This window comes from Homo sapiens, chromosome 10, assembly GCF_000001405.40.
Source record: "Homo sapiens chromosome 10, GRCh38.p14 Primary Assembly".
In the NCBI taxonomy this organism is placed as follows: Eukaryota; Metazoa; Chordata; class Mammalia; order Primates; family Hominidae; genus Homo; species Homo sapiens.
The window spans coordinates 93,226,834-93,252,062 of NC_000010.11; the positions used below are offsets into that span (position 1 = coordinate 93,226,834).

A 25,229-nucleotide genomic window follows, 5' to 3' on the forward strand; every position below is an offset into this window, starting at 1 on the left:
AAAGAACTAATCCAAGAAACTTTTGGACAAAGTACTCTAACTGCACAAACTTGGTGGGATGTAGTCCAAAGATTACAAAACTGAAAAAATCTTTACCTTAGGCAGTTTGTGGTCAGTGGTGATTGTGGGGAAGTAATTATTAAACTATTTTGAGTATATTGTAGTCAATGAATAAATATATATTCATTTATATATATATATTCATATTTGGGAAAAAAAGATTTTACTCTAGGGGAAGGGAGACATGAATATGGAATGAAGAAAAGAGAAAAAAACTTTGGTGTTGGATTGGAATCAAAAGTATCAGTACAAATGCATACTTTTAAAATATATATTCATAATATATGTTCTATATATTATAAATCTAATAAATGTATACATATTATATTATATATACACAGATATATATTTCCTAGCTCTGTTTACTCCAAAGGCCTAGAAACAATGACAGTCCAGTAGTAGTGAGCTCTAAATGGAGCCAGGGCTCCTTGAAGAAATGGATAACTTAAGGGCTGGGTAGGGGAAAATACAAGGTGAATCTGGAATATCTCCTTATGCTAGAAAGTAAAGGAAGTGTTCAAAAACTGATGAGATGTCAAAAAGACATAGGAGCCATCTTGAAGGAGCTCACATTGGTTAAATTTGGGTCAATTGGAACATTAAGAAGAACAGTGAAAATTATAAATAATAACACATCAAAAACAAATCAATGAGTCCATTGAGACACTAAAAATAATAATAAGTGTAGAGTGAGATGGAAAATATCTTTTTTTATAGAATAATGCCACCAAATAAATGTAAAAAGAACAATGACATTTTAAAAGTCATCATTTCCAACCACCCATTTCAATAACAGAGGCAAGTAAAGGTTCATCAAGGGATGCTCAACCACTGAGAAGCACCAAGGGAAAAGGATATTCACAGCCTCAATATATCACTTCATTGATGTCCACTTATTAGAAGGGAAAAAAATACTTGTATGCCAAATGATCAAACCTAACATCACTTAAAATGAGACAAAGTGGCCACATGTGCCTCCTGATGTCATGCACTGAGAAAGATACATCTAAGATACACATTGGAGAAAGATCTCTCTAATATTCCTGCCCAACTGTTTAACTTGAACCTACTTAGGAAAAAACAATCAGACAAACCCAAAGTTGAAGAACATCCTACAAAATAACCTGAGTGAATGCTTAAAAATATCACTATAGTGAAAGAGAGAAAAAAGTTGTTATGACAACTAGAGGCAAAGTGTGTTTCTAGATTGGGTCATTAATGTCTTTTTAAAAAGCTACAAAGGGCATTTTGGGGACAATATAGGACATTCGAATATGAACCCCAGATTAGATAATAGTATTATATTGAGATTAAATTTCCTGAGTGTGCTAGTTATATTGTGTTTAGATAGGAAAATATTCCTGTTCTTGGGAAATACTTAGCTACGAAGTGTTGTGATGCAGACATCACATGTAAGTGAGACATGCAACTTACTCTCAAATGATTGGGGAGAGGAGTAGAAAACATTTATATGAAGAGAATGGAGTAAGAGAGGAAACAACCCCATACGAATATGATAAAATGTTAACCGAATTTTCTAGATAAAGAATATATAGATACGGGCCGGGCGCCATATCTCACACCTGTAATCCCAGCACTTTGGGAGGCTGAGGTAGGTGGATCACCTGAAGTCAGGAGTTCGAGACCAGCCTGGCCAACATGGTGAAACCCTGTCTCTACTAAAAATACAGAAAATTAGCTGGGTATGGTGGTACACACCTGTAGTCCCAGCTACTCGGGGGGCTGAGGCAGGAGAATTGCTTGAACCCAGGAGGCAGAGGTTGCAGTGAGGCAAGATTGTGCCACTGCATTCCAGCCTGGGTGACAGAGTGAGACCCTGTCTCAAAAAATATATATATCTATAGATATAGATATAGATAAAGATATAGATATAGATAGAGATACGGGTTGCACTATATTTTTTTCAACTTTTCTGTAGGCTTGAGAATTTTTTAAATAAAAAGTTTTGGAAAAAGTAAGCTTATAGCCAAAAAAAAAATACATGGAGATTGTATTAGTCAGGGTTCCCTAGGGGGACAGAATTAATAGGATATATATACACATGAAGGGGAGTTTATTGAGTATTAACGTACACAAACATAAGGTCCCACAACAGGCTCTCTGCGAGCTTGAGGAGCAAGGAGAGCCAATCTGAGTCTCAACTGAAGAACTTGGAGTCTGATGTTTAAAGGCAGGAAACATCCAGCATGGGAGAAAGATGTAGGCTGGGCGGCTAGGCCAGTCTCACCTTTTCATGTTTTTCTGCCTGCTTTATATTCACTGGCAGCTGATTAGGTTGTGCCCACCAGATTAAGGGTGGGTCTGTTTTCCCCAGCCCACTGACTCAAATGTCAATCTCCTTTGGCAACACCCTCACAGACACACCCAGGATTAATACTTTGCATCCAATCCAATCAAGTTGACACTCAGTATTAACCATCACAAGCCCACCCCTTGTCAACTTGAACCCATACACATCTCCTGAGATCATACATAATCTTTAAGTAAAGACAATAATAAGGTCATAATTATGCCTAACATAAAACAACTATCCTTCATACAACTGGAAACGCACCAATCCCCAACCCAAAAACTATTACATAAAGTTAACAATACTTAAATGCTAATGTGAAGTCAATAAATCTTATGTCACATGATAAAGGAGAAAGAAAATAAAATGAAGATATTTTCTTAGCACAAGTATATATATGCAAAACATATTTTTAACAAAAGAAGGGGGACATACTCATGACAATTACAATCCTCGCTTCTGAAGCTGATGATGTGGTCGTAGCTGGTATTAATTACTACCTTCTTCTACTACCCATTCTGTATTCCCTTTGCCTTCAGCAAGCACCTCAGCAGGTCATTGATTTTTTTCCTGGTCGGGTGACCCAAACCATTCCTGAAGGGTCTGGGCCATTTTTAGTCCAGTCTGGATTAGGCTGTTGTAGTTTCCCATTGACCTTAATCACAGGGCATGGTACTACTAAGAGATGCCCTAATGTATCTCCTGTATTCCATGCATACTCTTCCTTACCTCCGTTGTAGAGTAGTAGACTGATTTCATCTTGATAGTCCAGGTCAATCACTCCAGCCAACACTGTAACTCCAGTTTTCTAACTTCTTAGCCTGTTGACTTAAAGGTAGGAGGAGCCCAAAGTGTCCAGGTGGCAATCTTAACTTCCAGTTTAGTGGAATTGGTGTTGTGTCTCCTGGTAGCAACATTCCTGCCTTTGGAACTAAGACCTCTAGGCCAGCAGAATATAATGTCATGGGAATAGGAAGCAAAAATTTTGCTAGTGGATCCCTAGGGGTGACAGTGAGTGGTGCCACTTCCACTTCCACCCCTTGATTCCTGTACCATGAATCCTGGCTATGGGGAAAACAGTACCATATATTGGATGCCGATTCAGAGTATACACAACCTTCTGGAGAACTTTGCCCCAGCCCTGCAAAGCATTGTCCCCTAGTTGGCATTGTAATTGTGACTTTGAAAGGCCATTCCACCGTTCTATCAATCCAGCTGCTTCAGGATGATGAGGAACATGGTAAGACCAGTGAATTCCACGAGTATGAGCCCACTGCTGCACTTCTTTAGCCGCAAGTGCCTTGGTCAGAGGCAATGCTGTGTGGAATACCATGAAGGTGAATAAGGCATTCCGTGAGTCCATGGATGATAGTCTTGGCAGAAGCATTGCATGCAGGATAGGCAAACCCATATCCAGAGTAAGTGTCTATTCCAGTGAGGACAAACCTCTGCCCTTTCCATGATGGAAGAGGTCCAATACGATCAACCTGCCACAAGGTAGCTGGCTGATCACCCTGAGGAATGGTGCCATATCGAGGGCTCATTGTTGGTCTCTGCTGCTGGCAAATTGGGCACTCAGCAGTGGCCATAGCCAGGTCAGCATTCGTGAGTGTAAGTCCGTGTTGCTGATCCCATGAGTAACCTCCGTCCTTGCCACGACAGCCACTTTGTTCATGGGCATTGGGCAATGACAGGAGTGGCTAGGGAAAGAGGCTGAGTGGTGTCCACAGAAAATCCTCTTCTGCTGAGGTCACCCGTTGGTGAGCACTGATGTGGGATACAAATATCTTCACAGTTTTTGATCACTCAGAGAGGTCTATCCACATACGTACTTCTTCCCCAAATTTCTTTGTGACCAATTTTCCAATCATGCTTCTTCCAAGTCCCTGACCATCCAGCCAAACCATTGGCTACAGCCCATGAATCAGTATATAATCGCACATCTAGCCATTTCTCCTTTCATGCAAAGTGTGCAGCCAGGTGCACTGCTAGAAGTTCTGCCCACTGGGAAGATTTCCCTTCACTGGTCTCCTTCAGGGATGTCCTAGAAAGGGGCTATAGTGCTGCAGCTGTCTACGTTCGAGTGGTGCCTGTATATTGTGCAGAACCACCTGTGACCCAGGCCCTAGTCTTCTCTTCCTCTGTCAAATGATCACAGGGAACTCCCCATGAGGCCATTGGTGCAGGCTGGGGAGGAGAAGGCAGGGCGGCAGGTGTGGAGACCATGGGCATTTGAGCCACTTCCTCATGTAACTTACTTGTGCCTTCAGGACCTGCTCAAGCCTCATCACGTATATACCACTTCCATTTGATGGTGGAAGGCTGTGCATGACCCACTTGATGGCTAAATGGGTCAGAAAGCACCCAGTTCATGACAGGCAGTTCAGGTTACATGGTGACTTGATGACCCATAGTCAAACGTTGTTTCCATCAAAGTCCAGTAACAAGCCAAGATCTGTCTCTCAAAAGGAGAGTAGTTATCTACAGAAGATGGCAAGGCCCTGCTCCAAAATCCTAGAGGCCTGCACTGTGATTCACCTATGGGGGCCTGCCAAAGGCACCAAACAGCATCCCTATCTGCCACTGACACCTCAAGCACCATTGGATCTGCTGGGTCATATAGCCCAAGTGGCAGAGCAGCTTGCACAGCAGCCTGGACTTGTTACAGAGCCTTCTCCTGTTCTGGACCCCACTCAAACTGGCAGCCTTTTGGGTCACTCAATAAATGGGTCAGAGTAACACACCCAGATGAGGAATGTGTTGCCTCCAAAATCCAAATAGGCCCACTAGGTGTTCTGCCTCTTTCTTGGTTGTAGGAGGGGCCAAACACAGCAACTTATCCTTCACTTTAGAAGGGATATTTTGACAGACCCCACACCACTGGACCCCTAGAAATTTCACTGAGGTAGAAGTTCCCTGAATTTTAGTCATATTTATTTCCCATCCTCTGGCATGGAAATGTCTCACCAATAAGTCCAGTGTGTTTGCTACTTCTTGATCACTGGATCCAATCAGCATAATGTCATCAATGTAATGGACCAGTGTGATATCTTGTAGAAGTGAAAAGCGATCAAGGTCTCTCCAAATAAGATTATGACACAAAGCCAGAGTTGATATACCCCTGAGGTAGGAAAGTAAAGGTATATTGCTGGCCTTGCCAGCTGAAGGCAAATTGCTTCTGGTGGGCCTTATGGACGGGAATGGAGAAAAAGGCATTTGCCAAGTCAATGGCTGCATACCAGGTACCAGGAGATGTGTTAATTTGCTCAAGAAATGAAACCACATCTGGTACAGGAGCTGCAATTGGAGTCACCACTTGATTAAGCTTGTGATAATCCACTGTCATTCTCTAAGATCCATCTGGTTCACAGCTCGGTCAGTTTGAGGCAGGCCAAATGGGAGAGTTGAATGGGGATGTGGTAGGAATCACCACCCCTGCATCTTTCACGTCCCTGATGGTGGCACTAATCTCCACAATCCCCCCAGGGATGTGATATTGTTTTTGATTTACTATTTCTTTAGGTAGAGACAGCTCTAATGGCTTCCACTTGGCCTCTCCCACCATAATAGCCATCACCCTACCAGTTAGGGAAGCCAGTGTAGGGATTCTGCCAGCTGCTAAGTGTGTCTATGCCAATTATGCATTCTGGCATTGGGGAAATTACTACAGGATGACTGTGGGGACCCACTGTAAGTCAGACCTGAGCTAAAACTCCATTAATTACCTGACCTCCATAAGTCCCTACTTTAATTGGAGGATCACAGTGATGTTTTGGGTCCCCTGGAGTCAACATCAGCTCAGAGGCAGTGTTCCATAATCTCTGAAATGTCTGATCATTTCCCTTTTCCCAATGCACAGTTACCCCAGTAAAAGGCCAGAGGTGTCTTTGGGGAAAGATGGGAGAAAGGTTCACTGCACAAATTGTCGGTAATGTAGTGAGGCCCTTCCTCAAGGGGATCCAGCCTCCCCTTCATTCAAGGAGTTCTGGGTCTATAAACTGGCTCAAGTCTGGAAATTGATTGAGGGACCATGATTCTCCGTTTTTGTAATTCAAATTAGTCTTTTGTCCATTCAAGCTAGAAGTTTTCTGCTTGTATAAATTAAGTATGAATGCAGTAGGCTTCCTATCAACTTCATTTCTAGGAACACTATGATTAATTAGCCAATGCCAGAGCTCTACATGAGTCAGACTATTCTGATTGGTGCTTTGTCTCTGCTGTTCATTATGGTAGCTACACCCACCTTGCCTTTGACGGTTGACTGCTGCCACTTGGCCCCTGCCACGTCGGGATCAAATTATTCCCATCGTATTTAAATTTTGTAGTTGAGTGACTATGGTTCCTACTGTTAGATCTGACATACAGAGAAGAGAAATTATAGGGCTCTTCAAACATGTAGGTACTTGCCTCACAAATCTATTTCACAAGGCATTGGTCAAGGGTATATCTTCTGGACCCTCCTACCTGGGATGAGTAGGTCTAAAGTGACTAATCCACTCCACCATCCCACTCTCCCTAAGCCTTTAGATCCCTTCCTCTACATTAAACCAAGAAAGATCAGGCATTTCCAGCTTGCTCACAGTGGGCCATCTTTTAATCCATATTTCAGCTAACCAAGCAAATAAACGATTAGAACCTTTTTTAATTCCCCAAGCTGCAACATTAAATGCAGAGTCCCTACTTAGTGGGTCCAAATCAATAAATTCAGCCTGATCCAACTCTATGTTCCTTCCACCATTATCCCATACCCTTAATATCCATTCCCGTGACTGTTCTCCAGATTTCTGTTTATATAAATTAGAGAACTCAAGCAGTTCTTTTTAAGAGTAGTGAACCTCCTCATGGATCATGCTCTCAACCTCACCTCTAGGTGCCTGCCAGGACTTTAGTCTAGTTATAGGTCTGGAAGCAAACAGAGGTGTTGAGGGTGGCTCCTGAGGAGAATCAACATTATTTTGCCTGGCAACTGCCTCCATGGAGGCCATCACTGTTGCCTCAGACAGTGCAGAGTTTTGTCTTCTCAGACAAAGGTGGAAAGGCTGATGGCAGCATGGGTCAGGGAGGGGATGTTGCCACTACTGGGGATGGTGAAGCTCTTCCTTCTGGCAAGAAAGTTTCATCAGAGCTTACAAACTTAGTGTTCCCAGCTTCATCAGGGTCCTCCCACACATCCCCATTCCAGGTTACAGGGTCTCATTCTTTTCTAATCAATGCCCTCACTTTAACAGTAGACACCGGTGAGGTGCATGCACCTTTCATCGCAGGTCAGCCACTCACATGATAAGAGCTTGTGTCTGTTTCTCCACAATTTCAGCTCTTTCTCTACAGGAGATAAGACTCTCACTCAGGGCAATCTTAGAAGATTTGAGGCTCAGTATCTGCTTCTGAAGCCAGAAGACAGAATCCCTGAGTTCATCATTTTCTCTCATCACTTTGTCCAGTGAACTTAGGAGCAACCAACCAGCTTCATTATGTTCCTTGGTTCTCCACATATGGTCAAAAGTATTATATATAGAGTTAAGGAACTCCTTGCATCTCATGAACAGTGAATCAGGAGTGTCAAATGCATTTATTTTACATAACTCTCTAAACAGTTCATGCCAAGGACTATCAGTGTTCTCCATACTATTAGAAGTAGAGTCCTTAGCATTTTTGGGTCTAATCATATTAAGCAGCCAACTCCAGAAACCCCAAAACCAACAAAAGAACTCCATCCTTAATATTCTGTTCCTGGCTGAGTGCAGTGGCTCACACCTGTAATCCTAGCACTTTGGGAGGCCAAGGCAGGTGGATCACCTGAGGTCAGGAGTTCGAGACCAGCCTGGTCAACATGATGAAACCTCATCTCTACTAAAAATACAAAAATTAGCCAGGCATGGCAGCAGGCACCTATAATCCCAGCTACTCGGGAAGCTGAAGTAGGAGAATCGCTTGAATCCAGGGGGCAGAGGTTGCAGTGAGCCGAGATTGCACCACTTCACTCCAGCCTGGGTGAAAGAGCAAAACTCTGTCTCCAAAAAAAAAAAAAGAAAAAAATTATGAATTCTGTTCCTCTAGAACCACTCCTGGTACCAAAATCTGTATTAGGGTTCCCTAAAGGAACAGAACTAATATATATATGTGTGTATATGTATACACACATGTATGTATGTGTATATATATATATGAGTTTATTAAATATTAACTTACATGATCACAATGTCCCACAATAGGCGTCTGCAAGCTTGAGGAGCAAGGAGAACCAGTCTGAGTCTCAGAACTGAAGAACTCTGGAGTCCGATGTTTGAAGGCAGGAAACATCCAGCATGGGAGAAAGATGTAGGCTGGGAGTCTAAGCCAGTCTTGCCTTTTCACGATTTTCTGCCTGCTTTATATTCACTGGCAGCTGATTAGATTGTGCCCACCAGATTAAGGGTGGGTCTCTTTTCCCCAGCCCACTGACTCAAATGTTAATGTCCTTTGGCAATACCCTCACAGACACACCCAAGATTAATACCTTGCACCCTTCAATCCAATCAAGTTGACACTCAATATTAACCATCACAGAGATGGTTCAACACAATCCATTTGAGCCCAGGTTCACAGCTTGGTCAGTGTCAATAGACTCTGACAGGCACACTTCCTGGGAACAGATAAAGGATCTGAGCTTCCAAGAGTTCAGAGTCCGAGTACCAGTTGCCTCTGGTTGACTCCTCTCATCCTCTTGGGACCTGGTGGGGTGAGGAAACTGACCTTGAGTGACCGAGCCTCATGACGTGTCCTGGAATGTGGATTTCTCATGCTATCCCAAGTGCTTCCTCTAAAGTGAGTTTCTAGAAATCAAATCTTCATTACACAGAGTGCTGCTTCCCACAGAAATGTTTCCATAATTCTAAAAGGAGGTCCATGGCAGTGTATCCTAAACCCAGCCGCTCATCAGAATCACTTGCAGGGCTGGTTAAACCACAGATTGCTGGGTCCAACACCCTCAGTTTCTGACCTAGTCAATCTGAAGTGGGCCCTGGAATCCATATTTTTAGGAAAATGCCCAGGTACCTCTAATTTGGAAATGGGTATTGAAACCACAGGACAGGTGACCTTTAAGCAACTTTCCTACTCTAGGTGTATCTCCACTTAAAAATAGAGAATTAAAATATAGACACACTTAAGAAACAGGAGGAAACTTTTCCTTGCTCAATCTAGTCATATAATGGTAAACCTCTTCTGCTAAGATTCAAAGGCTGCAAGGTAAGTAATACTTAACTGCTTCTGAGTGCATTAAATAATCGAGCCACAGCTTGAGTCTTGAGGTTGGAAAGGTACTTTCAAATGTCACAGACACTGGGTATTTGGATCAGGAATGTGGTCTGGGTGCCTTCCAGACAGAGCCTGCCTGTGCCAGGCTGGCAGGGTCTCAGCACGGCCCAAACCCTGTCTCCCCTGGCTTCTGAGAGCTTTGTTTCTGCCATGTGGGAAGGAAACTGTCTGGTTCTAGAAATACACCAAAGCACCAAATATATCTGTGGATGCTAGAAGTCTGGAATCAGAGACGATTAGTGCTCAAAAGAAACTAGCTAGCCACTGTCTAGTTTTCTTCTCTTGCCATTTTAGAGGTGGGGAGCTGTGAGCTCCAGAAAGCTTTGACACGTGTCTGGGAAGTGTCAGAGATGGGTCTAAACCAATGACTGAGTCTAGTCTCTCCAGCTTATCTCTGTTTGGTTCAAACATTACTTTGTTTTTAGGTATCTGTGAAGATAATAAAAATCAAGCATGAGTGAAGTAAGAAGGCTAACTCAGGAAATTTAGGACAAGCTCTTTGTGGCAAAAATATACCTAATAAGTTTTGGAATTTTTTCCCCTTTATTTCTTCCTTGGGTCTTTTCCCCAAAATGAATGCTTTCAGTGTCTGTTCATCTTTAAAAGTCAACAGTAAGTAGGACTTCATGATAATGGGAATGACTTCTTTTGCTTTCAGATTTTGCCAGATTGAGGTGAACTACAAATTAAACAAACAAACAAATAAACCAACCTCATACAGAAAAATACCATAAAATTGTTAGCTTGCAACTGCACTTAAAAATGGGTATTTAAGGGCCAGGCACCATGGCTCACGCCTGTAATCCCAGCACTTTGGGAGGCCAAGGTGGGAGGATCACCTGAGGTCAGGAGTTCAAGACCAGCCTGACCAACATGGAGAAACTCCTGTTTCTACTAAAAATACAAAATTAGCTGGGTGTGGTGGCGCATGCCTGTAATCCCAGCTACTTGGGAGGTTGAGGCAGGAGAATCACTTGAACCTGGGAGGCGGAGGTTGTGGTGAGCCAAGATCGCACCATTGCACTCCAGCCTGGGCAACAAGAATGAAACTCCATCTCAAAAAACAAACAAAAAAGGTATTTAAAATACTTTAATCAAATATTTATGTACTAGATATTGTTCTAGGTACTAGGGATAAAGCAGTGAACAAAACACACTAAAAATCAAAAAGCACTTTAATCCTGGAAATTGCTATCTAGCCAGTAAAATATTAGACATGAATTCAATTGGCAATTTGTAGTTATAGTCTAAATAAATACAGCTTTAAATGTTAACCATCAGACACAATTATGTTATGTGAAAACAGCCTAACATGTAATACGTTTTCTTGTTCTTAAAAAAGACTTTGGGGCTGGGCGCGGTGGCTCATGCCTGTAATCCCAGCACTTTGGGAGGCCAAGGTGGAGAGATCACCTGAGGTCAGGAGTTCGAGACCAGCCTGGCCAGCAGGTGAAACCCCATCTCTACTAAAAATACCAAAAATTAGCAGGCGTAGTGGCGGGCGCCTGCAACCCCAGCTACTCAGGAGGCTGAGATGGGAGAATTGCTTGAACCCTGGAGGCGGAGGTTGCAGTGAGCCCAGATCATGCCATTGCACTCTAGCCTGGGCAACAAGAGTGAAACTCCGTCTCAAAAAAAAAAAAACAAAAAAGACTTTGGAATTATAAGACACTAGCTAAAACTATTGCATTCATTTGCATGTCTGTGTTCCCTTTATAAAAACAAACAAAAGAAGTTAGCCAGTCCACGTATTACATTTCCTAGAAATTTTTACATCTCTTAATGGGGCTTCCAGGATTTAAAAGGATTAGCAGTGTCTGCCTTGGGCCAAACTCCCCTGAGGCAGCAAACGCTTGTCTTCACAGTCTGGGGAATTCTGGTCAGATCCTTTTGGTTACAAAGAAAAGAGACCCAGTTGAGTGTGCTCAAGAAAAGGGGCCTTAATCATGAGAACCCAGTGGAAAAACACAACACAAGCTGTGGACCAGAGCCCAGTGCAGCCAGCTCTCAAGGGACTAAGATGGGAAACCCCAGACAGGAACAGGATCTCTCTTTCTCTCTCTAATGGCTTCTCAGCTTTTCTCAGTGCACCTATTTCCCCTCTTTCCTCCCTCTGGCTTTCTCTGTGATTTAATTGCTCCTCTCCCAAAATCTCATCTTGCTTATGCGCCATAATGGCCACACAAGCCTCAGTTCTGCTTTGCTTTTCAACGGTAGTTGCTACCACTATCACCACTTGGGAATTTCCCTTTGGAGGCTCTTCTCTAGAGAGAAGCCTGACTAGTGTGCCTTATTTTCTGGAGCCAGCCATATAAGGTGTAGGCTGCTGGCTGGTTTGTAGTTGATTCTTCTCACTGGGTCAGATGTCACTCCTTATTCTACTGGCTGTGGCCAGAGTCAGATGATATTAAAATGACAATTGGGGTCATTTTTTTTTTTTTGAGACGGAGTCTCGCTCTGTTGCCCAGGCTATAGTGCAATGGCGCGATCTCGGCTCACTGCAAGCTCCTCCTCCCAGGTTCAAGCAATTCTCTGCCACAGCCTCCCAAGTAACTGGGATTACAAGCACCTGCCACCATGTCTGACTAATTTTTTTGTATTTTTAGTAGAGACGGGGTTTCACCATGTTGGCCAGGCTGGTCTTGAACTCCTGGCCTCATGATCCACTCACCTCGGTCTCCCAAAGTGCTGGGATTACAGGCATTAGCCACCGTGCCCAGCCTGAGGTCATTTTTATGCAGCAGCACGTGTCAATGAGGCAGATTCCTCCAGAAGGCAGTGTTTGCAGACAAGCACCCTGAGACTGTTTTAGTATTGTGGTGGTACTTTTAAAAATCAGATCAGAACATGGGGTTGATCCTGAATCCCATGTGTGTTTAACTATGTACCTATTGTGTCCTGGGAAAAGTCAGGAGATAGGGTACTCCCAAATGAAGCCAGAACTGGACCCAGGAGCCCAGTTTTTTTTTTTTTTTTTTTGAGATGGAGTTTCGCTCTTGTTGCACAGGCTGGAGTGCAATGGCACCCTCTAAGCTCACTGCAACCTCCACCTCCCAGATTCTAGTGATTCTCCTGCCTCAGCCTCTTGAGTAGCTGGGACTAAAGGCGTGCGCCACCATACCTGGCAAAATTTTTTGGTATTCTTAGTAGAGATGGGGTTTCACCATGTTGGTCAGGCTGGTCTTGAACTCCTGACCTCAGGTGATCCACCCGTCTCAGCCTCCCAAAGTGCTGGGATTATAGGCATGAGCCACCGCACCTGGCCCCAGTCTTTTTTTAAACTCCTGGTATCTGTAAACAAAAGAAAAGCAAAATTGGGACAGAGTAGGAGAGGATTGTCTGGTTTGTGTTCCCTGTTATTCTGGGTTTTTTGTTTTCTTTGTTTGTTTGTTTGTTTTTGAGATGAAGTCTTGATCTGTCACTCAGGCTAGAGTGCAGTGGCTCAATCTTGGCTTACTGCAACCTCTGCCTCCTGGGTTCAAGTGATCCTTCTGTCTCAGCCTCCTGAGTAGGTGGGATCACAGGTGTCCACCACCATGCCTGGTTAATTTTTATATTTTTAGTAGAGACAGGATTTCACCATGTTGATCAGGCTGGTCTCGAACTCCTGACCTCAAGTGATCCTCCCGCCTCAGCCTCTCAAAGTGCTGGGGTTACAGGTGTGAGCCACTGTGCCCGGTCTTCCTGTTATCCTTGACTACTTTTGAATTCACATCAAATCCCAATATCTGAGCTCGGGGTAAGCTTGGGCCCAGGTGGACCCTTGGTGGAAGTTAAAGGAATGGCCTCCATTTGGGCAATTTTCAGGCGAAGATTATGGTAGATTGTTGGCAGATTTCTGCCTAGAATGGGATCAAGGGGTGAGCTAAGAATAGATAGTGAGATTTTGGTTTAATCAATCCAGAGAGGATAGTGGATCCTGGAAAAGTATAAATGGCTGAACTTTAAGCTCAAAATACTCTTCTTGTCAGAGAGAGGTTAGCTGAGAATTTCATCCTGGAAGCCCAAGTAGGCTGATGAGATGGAATACTTAGTATTCCAGGAAAAACAGGAGGGCCACTTGGAAGGCTGCTGTCCTTTGATCAAGTGGGGTGACATGCAGCAGGTTTTGTAGAGCTGGTGATCAGCAAGACCCATGCTGACAGTGAAGGTGGGTGAGCAAAGATTTGACAGTGCAGACTTTGGGGTCAGACAGAAAGTTCCAGAGCTGCATAATCGGGTGAGCCTCACTTTCCTCATCTGTAACACGGAAATTATATCTATTTCTTAGGGTTGTGAAGAGGGTTAAATATGATGTAGTCTGTAAAGTTTAAATGTTAGCTGTAATTAAACCAACTATAGTTGTTACCGTCAGAATACTTGTCCATGACCATTGACAAAACACATCACCGTGCAGTATTTCACTTGGTTTTACCATTCAGAACTGCATTTTCTGACCACAACAATGAGCAGAAATCAGGAGAAAAGGAAAGCACTTTGATACTTCCTTTGAGGTGATCTCTTCTTTCTAGAATTCTCTTTTAATCTGGGTTCAAAGCTTCTATTCTAAGGTTGAGAGCTAAAAACCCCTGGGAAGGACAGGACTTGAATCAAAATTTACACTAAAGTTCTAAATTATTGATAATTTTTTAATGAGAAATATTTTTGGTGGTAAGGGCAGGGCTGGGGAGGAGAAAGACATAGTATACTGATGATTAAAAAGAGTAAAAGTGAATGAAAATAGGTCAAGGGAATCAAAGACCAGGTATTCACTTTTTCTTATGACCAGCTTGGCCTGTGTTTCACCAAAAGGTACTCTGTTAAATTGGATGACCTCTCTCAAAAATCCATAATGTGAGCTACTGTGTTAAAGGCTCTGAGAAGTTCTACAGCCAAGAAGATGCCTTCACTTCATTTAGTTCAGCATTCTTAGGTTTACTGTCCACAGAACCTCTTTTTCAGCATAGGTCCTATCAGCCTCCTGAGGAACCAGGAACACACTTTGCAATTCTGCTCCACATCTAATCAAAGAAGGGGGTCCACCCAATTCCAACTTCTCCTGTATCTTCTCACTTTGACTTATCTAGGTGCATTGAAGAAGACAAGATTGGGCAAATATGATAATTGTCTTCAAATGTCTGGAGGTTTGGCATTAGACAGTGGGATTTAGATTTGCTCTGTATAGCTCCAAAGAATAGAGTGAAGTTCAGTTCTTTGGATTCCAGGAAAGCAGACCTCACTTCTGAATAAGAGAGAATTTTAAAAAATTGCCTTATTTTTTGAAGAGGCATTATAAGCATATGGTATGCAATCTAAAAGGTGTTAATACCAAGTGAGGATGTGGATCAAGAAATCTTTACAAACAGCTGGTGGTGTAGTCACTTGGAAAAGTGACCGTTTCTATATTCTGTAACCCAGCCATCCATCTGGTGGTATACATGCCAGAGAGACCCTTGTGCACACGCACCAGGAGGTGTGTACAAGAATGTTCCGGGAAAGACTGTGTGTGCCAAACTGGAAATGAGCAAATGTCCGCCAACAGGAGAATGGATAAACTGTAATATTTTCATATGATGAAATTGTACACAGTAATAAAAATGAAAAACTATAGATATATGCCACAACATGGACAAATCGTTGAAACTTAAAGTTGAATGAAAAGAAGTAAGTTGTAGAAGACTGTATATAGCATGATATAGTTTTTATTAACTCAAAATCAAGTCAGATGAAATAATATATTGTTTAAGAATATATCTGTATAATTATTTTTAAAAGATAGCAAAAGACAGCATTATTTGTTATAGTCAAAAGACTTAAAAAAAAACAACTATCGGCCTAACACAGTGGCTCATGCCTGTAATCCCAGCACTTTGGGAGGCCGAGGTGGGCAGATCACCTGAGGTCAAGAGTTCGAGATCAGCCTGGCCAACATGGTGAAACCCCGTCTCTACTAAAAATGCAAACATTAGCTGGGTGTGGTGGCGTGCACCTGTAATCCCAGCTACTCTGGAGGCTGAGGCACAAGAATCGCTTGAACCTGGGAGGCAGAGGTTGCAGTGAGCCGACATCTTGCCACCGCACTCCAGCCTGGGTGACAGAGCAAGACTCCGTCTCCAAAAAAGAAACAACAACAACAACAACTGTCTTTCAAGGAATAAATAAAATGGGGTTATCCATACAATGGAATGTTATTTGGCAATAAAGAGAAACAACGTGCCGAGACATGCTACAACATGGAGGAAACTTGAAAGTATTTTACTAAATGAAAGAAGCCAGTCACAAAGGACTGCATATTACATGATTCCACTTACAGTATATGCCATTTCAGAATAAATAATTCCATAGAGACAGAAAGTAGGTTGCCAGTTGCCTGGGTGGATAAGGGACAGACTTGGAGGACAGAGTGTTTCGGAGGGGTAATGAAAATATTCAAAAATTGTGATGACAGTTGCACAACTACAAATACACTAAAAACCATTAAATTGTACACTTTAAATGGGTACATTGTATAATATGTGAATTATATCTCAATATAGTTGTTATAAAAAGTAGCGACAGAATAATAGACATACAATTCAGGAAGGGGGTATTTACGGAGGAGGAAGTGCAGTAGGGAGAGGGGACACGAAAGGATGGGTTTGAGAAAGAAAATTTTTAAATTATCTTTTAAAAATAATTATACAGATATATTCTTAAACAATATATTATTTCATCTGACTTGATTTTGAGTTAATAAAAACTATATTATGCTATATACAGTCTTCTACAACTTACTTTTTTTCATTCCACTTTAAGTTTCAACGATTTGTCCATGTTGTGGCATATATCTATAGTTTTTCATTTTTATTACTGTGCACAATTTCATCATATGAAAATATTACAGTTTATCCATTCTCCTGTTGGCGGACATTTGCCCAGAAGTAGCCTCTATAGAGCTGAAAATGATCTAGTAATAGCTGTGAGGTTCTGTCTGTGTGTGTCGGGGGTAGAGGTGCATTGGCATTCTTGATTTTTAAAAATTAGACTACATAATTTGCATATATGTTGCAAATATCCTTTTGTCATTATCAAATAATTCATAATAAAATCTTAATACAAAATGTACAAAAAGACTGGCTAGGAGAGGTGGCTCATGCCTGTAATCCCAACACTTTGGGAGGCCATGGCGGGTGGATCACTTGAGGTCAGAGGTTCAAGACCAGTCTGGCCAACATGGTGAAACCCCGTTGTTACTGAAAATACAAAAATTAGCCGGGTGTGGTGCACACGCCTGTAATCCCAGCTACTTGGGAGGCTGAGGCAGGAGAGTTGCTTGAACCCACGAGGCGGAGGCTGCAGGGAGCCGAGATTGTGCCACTGCACTCCAGCCTAGGCCACAGAGCAAGACTCTGTCTCAAAAAAAAAAAAAGAAGAAGAAAGTACAAAAAGACATATAGTAAAACTCAGCCTCACTCCCTTTACCCAGCCTCCCAGTTTCCCACCTTGAAGACAGCCACTGCTTGCTGGTTCTTGTGTGTCCTTACAGAGAGTCTACGTGTTTATAAGCAGGATGTGTGTGCACATGCAGAAGTGACTGTGCTCTCTGCACGCTGTTCCACACATTGTTTCACAAACCCGATATGTTTGGAGAACTTTCCAAACCTGTATGCAGAGTAGCCTTGATCGTGTTACTGGACAAAAGGCTTTATGTCTTATTTCGGAAGAATGTATCTTCTGGAGTCAGGCTGTCCTTGGTTGGCTCACAGCATGTTCCTTTGCTTTATTCAGACCTGAAACAAAAAGTCCACCTCATCTCAAATGGCTCTCTTACATCACCCTCTACCTGCTTCCCTTCTATTTCTTCTTAGCATAACTTGGCATGATATGTGTGCTTGTTTAGTTGTGTCTCCTCCTCCTCCTCCTCTTCCTTCTCCTCCTTCTTCTTTTCCTCCTCCTCCTTTTTCTTCTTCTTCTTCTCCTTCTCCTTCTTCTTCTTCTTCCTCTCCTTCTCCTTCTTCTACTTCTCCTCCTCCTCCTCCTCTCACTCTCCTACCCAGGCTGGAGTGCAGTGGTGCAATCATGGCTCACTGCAGCCTCCACTTCCTGAGCCCAAGCAATCCTCCTGCCTCAGCCTCCTGAGTAGTGGGGACCACAGGCACAAGCCACCATGCCCAGCTTAGTTGTTTGTTTTCATCTCCCGCATTAGAAAGCGAGCTCTGTGACAGCAAAAACTCTGTTCCTTTGCCCTGTAGGGCATATTGCAGTAAGCACACAATAGGTATTTATGGAATGACTGAACAAACAAATGAAATCCCAGATCCATCATGTACTAGCTATAAACTTTTGAGCAAGCTGCTAAATCTCTCCTTCCCTCAGTTTCCTTATTACACAATAGTATAATAGTGACCATGAAGATTAAATAAATGTATACTTCCAAAACACTTAGAACAGGGCCTGGCACATAGCAGCATTCATTCTATGTGGGCTCTTCTTATTAGAATATCCCAGTGCAGGGATGTACCATAATTTCTTTCACTGGTCTTCTATTTAGGTTATTTCCGAGTGGGGCTGCAATGCATAACTTTCTACTTAATGCCATTTTGCTCTTGAGCAAGTCTATCAGTTGGATGAATTTCTAGAAATGGAATTGCTGGGTTCAAAGGTACATATATTTTTAATTTTGAGAGATAATGCCAACTTGAAGAGATAATGATGAGCAGAACTGGACCACACTGGAAGATGCTGTTCCTGACATCTTGTGACTATTTAGTCACAAGGCTCTGTGACCAGGTCTCAAGTATGGGGCAGCAGTAATTCCTCCTGCCGGTGGGAGGCTGGGCTGTGTGATCTGCAAGGTCCCTTCAGATCCAGGATGCAATAATATGTTCCATACTATTATTGGCTAAGTGCCAGGCATACTTGCAACATAAAAATGCAAACCTAAAATATTTCATTTTCTATCCCACTGGTAGTAATGGGGAGAGATACTCTTTTAACTTATTTTTAAACTAAGAGCCAGTTTTCTATTCACACTGTAGTGTTTTTTATTTTTTCACTATTTTTTGGAACTTTTTGAAGGTATTTGCTATAAAAATTTTTAAACGTCCAGCAAAGCTTTTTAAAAAAAATGTGACCAATTATTTGAAGTCTTCTTATACAAATTAAACTTTTCTATAATGATTGGGGTAGGAAGTGGGTCAAAAAATATTGTATTTCTTTTTTTTTTAAACTTTATTGGCTCTTTTTTTCCTGTTGAGTCTAGTCAATAATCCACATTCTACAGCCACTCAAATGTCAAAATGTTTCAAAAATATATAAAAAAATAAAGAAATGAATAGAAGCGTCCTTGTTCTTTAAATTATTTCTGTGTTACCCTGAACTGTAAGTGAACCCTCCTTGCTTATAAAAGAAGCAGCTGTTCATGCAATTGAAACCATGGTTCATTACAAGCTGACCTCGGATTCAGGAGTAAAACTTCCTCTATTTTACTACGACTATTCAGACAGGGACTGGAGATAAACAATAATCAAAATCAGGATGGAACTTGACTGGGAAACCCTCTATGTTCTTTGGCAGAATTATAGCAGCTCTCGAATTGCCAGGAGTGAGGCAACGTGAAATGACCCTCAAACATTCCCTTCGAAATGCAGTGCGCCCAGGCTGCCAACTCTGAACCGACAAAGGCTGATTGTGATGACTTCTTAAGCATATACTTATAGAAACATTAATTATCACCAACCCTATTTTAAACATTTATAGAGAGTTGAGATGAAAGGACCCTTTTAGATCCACTTTTATATTCCCTCTTGTAGGAAACTATGATTACAGAGTGGTTTTTCTTTTTCCCCCCTCCTTGGAAATTTTCATTTCTAGGTCTTATTCCTAAAATACTAAGTTTGGTTTGAGGTTTACATGATAATCAGGTTAGGTATGAGAAGATAGCAGGGAAATTCAATGGTTAAGTGGAGGTGATGACAGGAACATGGCGGGGGGTTCCATTGCAGTGTGGGAGGTTTGGGCATCTTCATCAGGAAATGACCCATTTTGGAAATGTGGACATTCAGTTTGCCAGGGTGCCAGTGGAAGGTGATTCTAGAGTGAATCTGCTAAGGTCTAAGACAGTGGTTCTCAAACATTAGAATTCATCAGAGTCTTGGGATGGAGCTGCTTTAAAATGGACAACATGGGGTCCCACCCATGGAGAATTCCATCAGTGTGTCTGGGGCAGAGGTGGGGGTTGGGGGAGCAGCATTTTAACCAACACTCCTTGTCATTTGAATGCAGGGAGCTTGAGGCCACACTTTGAGAGGCATGTGGCTTGATGATTGATTATTACTAGGCTGTCACTCAAAGGGCCTTCAGGTATGTGCCTACTCAACCTACATTTATATGCTCCCTTTCCAGAACCCAACCCTACAGCCTCCACTCAAGTCTCCTCCATGGCACATGGCATCGTGTGTGAAGGTTGACCCCCATAATGGTCTGTGGGAGGCCATGTGCAAGGGGGTTCTTGGCTGAAGAATGCTTTAACTTATTGAAGGCAATCATAATTCTTTATAGAGTCATGAAAAAGGAGGAAGGAGAAAGAGAGGTCACAGGCCAAACTATCCACCCTTGGGCAGTAAATGTCCTTAGCATGTAAGATCCTGAACTGGGCATAGTGGAGTGAATATGAAATATGATGGAGAGGGCCCGGACTTGGCTTTGGTAGGGCTGACAAGTCAATGGGCACAGTGCAATATGGCAGCCTATATAAAAAGCGAGGTGGTTTGAAGAAATCACAAAGGTGAACAAATTCAATGAGCCTTTGTTTGAGACTTGGCTCTGCTCATGTTTCCCAGTGCCCACTCTTCCTCTCCACCCTCCTTTTCCTGTACTCCCTTCTCTAGGCCAAGAGAACATCTGTCTGTTAGCAGTTCACCTTCTCATTCTCTGCTCTGTACATGTGAACATGAATCACTAGACATACAAAATAGGGTGTCAGGAGGACAGGAATGTGCCTCCCATCGGGCCCAATGTCTCTTCCATCCAATTCGCAGTGTCTGAAAAGCACCTCTGGACCAAGGCCAGCAGAGACTGTTGCTCTTCTTCCTTCTGCCTCTAGCTTTCTGCACATGATACCCAAGTTCAATCAGATAGGAATATGTGCCATTCACCCTAAAGCAAGCTCTTTCCCAGTACTGCCAATGCCAGGAGGTTCCAATTTAGAATTGAGAGAGAGAGCTGTTATTTATTAAGTACTACTATGTGCCAGACACTTTGCATCCTCATCATGTTTAATCCTAACAATAACCCTGCAAGGTGGGCATCTCTGTTACAAGTGGGGAAGCTGAGGTTGAAAGATGCTGTGACTTGTCCAAGATTGTACCCATAGGACTAGAATGTGTGGGGTTGAGGGAGGGCTTTATGCTGTTTCTGGTTGCTTTTATGATTTGCTCAACTTTGAAGCATTTACTGTAGCTGCATTTTATGCCCATTTAGGGAGCAGTATAGTGGAGAGGTGAAGAATTGGGCCTGGAGACAGATCACCTGGGGCTCTGCCTCTCACTAGCTGTGAAACTTCCGGCATGTTGCCTTCGCTATCCCTCATTTCTCTTGGGATAACAATAGTAGTGATAATAATAATTCTTGGTTCATCAGAAACAAGTGACAATGAAGGCCAGCAGGGTGGCTCATGCCTGTAATCCCAGCACTTTGGGAGGCCAAAGAGGGTGGATCACCTGAGGTCAGGAGTTTGAGACCAGCCTGGCCAACGTGGTGAAACTCCGCCTCTACTAAAAATACAAAAATTAGCCGGGTGTGGTGGCACATGCCTGTCTGCACTCCAGCCTGGATGACAAGACAGAAACTCTATTAAAAAAAAAAAATTCACCCAGCGTGGTGGTGCGTGCCCATAGTTCTAGCTACTTGGGAAACTGAGGTGGGAGGATTGCTTGGGCCCAAAAGGCAGAGGCTGCGGTGAGCCGTGTTGGGCCACTGCACTGCAGCCTGTGCAACAGAGTGAGAACTTGTCTCAAAAGAGAGAGACAGAGAGAGAGAGCGAGAGAGAGAGAATAAGGTGCTTAGCACAGTGTAAGTGCCTCAACTAATATTGGTTATATTATACAATCGTCATGATCTTTGCAAGCTCCTTTAAAATGGGATATGATGAAATGATGAAAACAATGGCTAAATGGTGCAGAGCGAAGGCACAAAGAATGCATGCATGCACAAAGGAGTTAGAGTGATGGTTTAGTGATGGGAGGGAGGGATAGGTCACAGAATGACTAAGGCGCAGATATGCTGGGGCAGTCACTGACAAAATGGGCCAATGCTGTTGGGGCGGCCTCCTGAGATACCTCCCCTGTTCCATGCATGGGCTGAGCAGGCGGATCCAGGTTAGCAGAGGCCGGATGGGCTAGCACCTTTGCAAGGGTCGCTCCCCAGGACCTCAGCAGTCTAGCCCCAATTATGGTGGCTGCTAATTACCTTCCCAGCTGCAGCTGCGGGACCCTGCTGGGTGGGTGGACCTGAAGTTGTGGAAGCGGGGGTGATTCTCAGAGATTAAAGAGGGAGGCGGTTCCTGACCCCGCCTATCTGGGAGCTCCTGATCTGCTTGGCGCATCCCAGCCCTGCGCCTCCGGAGGGTGCGCCCTGGTCTGGCACCCTGGGGAGGGAACCCGGGACACATCAGAGGAGATCCTGAGGGGTCAATTAGACCAGGTCTAATTGATTAGACCAGGAAGGCTGACGTTCTGCCGGGGAGAGAGGTGGGGCGGGAACGGCTAAAGGCATTCCTGTTTGATCTTTATTTTCCAGATGGCAAATTGAGGATTAGAAAATTAATCCAGGGGCCAGGCGCGGTGGCTCACGCCTGTAATCCCAGCACTTTGTGAGGCCGAGGCTGGCGGATCACGAGGTCAGGAGATCGAGACCACCCTGGTTAACACGGTGAAACCCCGCCTCTACTAAAAATACAAAAAATTAGCCGGGCGCAGTGGCGGGCGCCTGTAGTCCCAGCTACTCGGGAGGCTGAGGCAAGAGAATGGCGTGAACCCAGGAGGCGGAGCTTGCAGTGAGCCAAGATGGCGCCACTGCACTCCAGCTTGGGCAACAGAGCGTGATTCTGCCTCAAAAAAAAAAAAAAAAGAAAGAAAAGAAAAAGAAAATTAATCCACGTTCGAACTCGGAGAGGCTGAGTCCTGAACAGGCTGTTAGAACAGTAGGCTGTGGCCTCAGAGAAAGGAGAATCATAATACCTGCGTAATTCACTCGGCAGGGTGCTTGTGGACTCTGATAGTGATAATCTAGGACCAGTAATTAGTCAACTATATTTCCCTGTCTTCATCCATGTGTCCAGTATTTATGATGTGCCTGTGAGCTTTGTAATTATTAGTATGTCTAAGTTTTTGTAGGGCATACAGATTTTCCATCCATTGCCTGAAGGTGTTTATTGTCCAAGAATAACAACTATAATAATAAAAGTACTGAATCCCACTGATTAAATATCTACTATGTGCTGTTCATGATCTCACTGTATTGTGACAATTATAATTACATAGCTATTATCAGGCCATTTTATAGATGAAGAAATTGAGGCTCAGGGAGGTTAAGGAGCTTGCTCTCCATTCAGGACACACAGCTTCTGGTCAGTGCTGAAGCCAAGATTGATATCCAGACTCTATACTATAAAGCCCTTGCTCTTAGTATAACTACAAAGCCCTTGCTCTTGGTTGCTGGTCCAGGGAGGAGTCTATCGACCGTGAGAGATCACCCACTAAATGAAGGTGGACTTTTGAGCCCTGGCTTCAACCAGAACGGTCAAAAAAGCCTTCTTGCAAGGGCAGGACGCAGAAAGTGTTCTGCAGCCTGAGGAGAGGAGGCATTTCACGAAGGCGAGAGGGGTCAGTGAGGAGGGGCAAGGACCAAAGACATTGAGGATGGTCACAGCTGCTGCTGCCTCCCCTGAGCTTCCCAACAGCCCCATGAGGGAGGAGGGGCAGGGATAACACCTCCATTTTGAAACGACGGGAGCTCAAAGAGGTTTATGTGGCTTGCGCAAGGTACCCCGCTACTAAATGATAAAAGTGTGTCCCCTGACTCCTTTCATTTTACAAGTAGCATGGAACCATGGAATTTTTGTGGCTAGAGTATGGGAGATGGGGAGGTGGATCCTCTTGTATCATTAAATGTATAATTTTCATTATCGTTGTAAGAGCATCATTCTTAACCTTTTTTTTTTTTCATGCCACAGACCCCTTTGGCAGTCTCACGAAGTCTGTGGATCCCTTTGCCAAAAAATAGTCCTGTTTTTAAAATTGTAGTAAATACAAATAACATAAAATGTACCATCTTAACTATTTTTAAGCATACAGTTCAGTGGCATTAAGTACATTCAGACTGTTTTGCTACCTTCACCACCATCCATCCACAGAATTATTTTTATCTTGCAAAATTGAAACTCTGTACCCATTAAACAATAACTCCCCATTCTCCCTACCTTCTAGCCCCTGGGAACCACCATTGTACTTCCTGTCTCTATGAATTTGACTACTCTGGACACCTCATTTCAGTGGAATTATGCAGTCTTTATCCTTTTGCGACTGGCCTACTTCACTTGGCATCTCGTCCTCAAGGTTCATGAATGTTGTAGCATGTGTTGGAATTTTCTTCCTTTTTAAGGATGAGTAATATTCCATTGTATGCATATACCACATTTTGTTTACCCATTTATCCCTTGACAGATACTTGTGTTGCTTCCACCTTTTGGCTATTGCAAATGATGAGCCAAATAATGTTTTAAAATACATAAAATTACATATGTGTATATATAGTATATATTATATAAATGTATATTTACAGAAATTATATGCGATGTAATTACAAAGGAAAATATTTATATTGATATACAGTTATCTATCTATTGATCTATAATCTATCTATATTTTTTGAGACAGGGTCTCACTCTGTCACCCAGCAAGAGTGCAATGGCACAGTCATGGCTTATGGCAGCCTTGAACTCCTGGGCTCAAGTGATCCTCTCACCTCAGGCTCCCGAGTAGTTGGGACTACAGGCACACACCACCATGCCTGGCTAATTTTTATATTTTTTGTGGAGATGGGGGTCTCACTTTGTTGCCCAGGTTGGTCTCAAACTCCCGGCCTCAAGCAAACCTCCAGTCTCAGCCTCCCAAAGTGTTGGGATTACAGGCACGAGCCACCACTTCTGACTTTCAATATGTTTTTTAAAAATTGGCCAGGTGCAGTGGCTTACACTGGGAGACCGAGGTGGGTGGATCACTTGAGGTCAGGAGTTCAAGACCAGCCTGGCCAACATGGTGAAACCCCGTCTCTACTAAAAATACAGAAATTAGCCTGGCGTGGTGGTGGGCACCTGTAATCCAAGGAAGCTGAGGCAGGAGAATCACTTGAACCTGGGAGGAGGTGGCTACAGTGAGCCGAGATTGCACCACTGCACTCCAGCCTGGGTGACAGAGTGAGACTCCGTCTCAAAAAAAAAAAAAAAAAAATTGATTATGATATAGAAAAATGTCAGCTCCTTTACTAAGGCAGATAATAAAATCCAGCACAGGCTTAATAACTACCCTAACTTGGAAAAAGCAAT

At 43.1% G+C, this 25,229-nt stretch overlaps 2 annotated features.

The window, feature by feature from the left end:
* Positions 11,737-12,300: an enhancer, noted in NCBI's record as "NANOG-H3K27ac-H3K4me1 hESC enhancer chr10:94998327-94998890 (GRCh37/hg19 assembly coordinates)". NCBI's record gives its function as "activates a minimal SCP1, AML or CMV promoter by ChIP-STARR-seq in primed H9 embryonic stem cells {active_cell/tissue: H9 hESC(primed)}" and the evidence as "EXISTENCE:reporter gene assay evidence [ECO:0000049][PMID:30033119]".
* Positions 12,301-12,863: an enhancer, noted in NCBI's record as "H3K27ac-H3K4me1 hESC enhancer chr10:94998891-94999453 (GRCh37/hg19 assembly coordinates)". NCBI's record gives its function as "activates a minimal SCP1, AML or CMV promoter by ChIP-STARR-seq in primed H9 embryonic stem cells {active_cell/tissue: H9 hESC(primed)}" and the evidence as "EXISTENCE:reporter gene assay evidence [ECO:0000049][PMID:30033119]".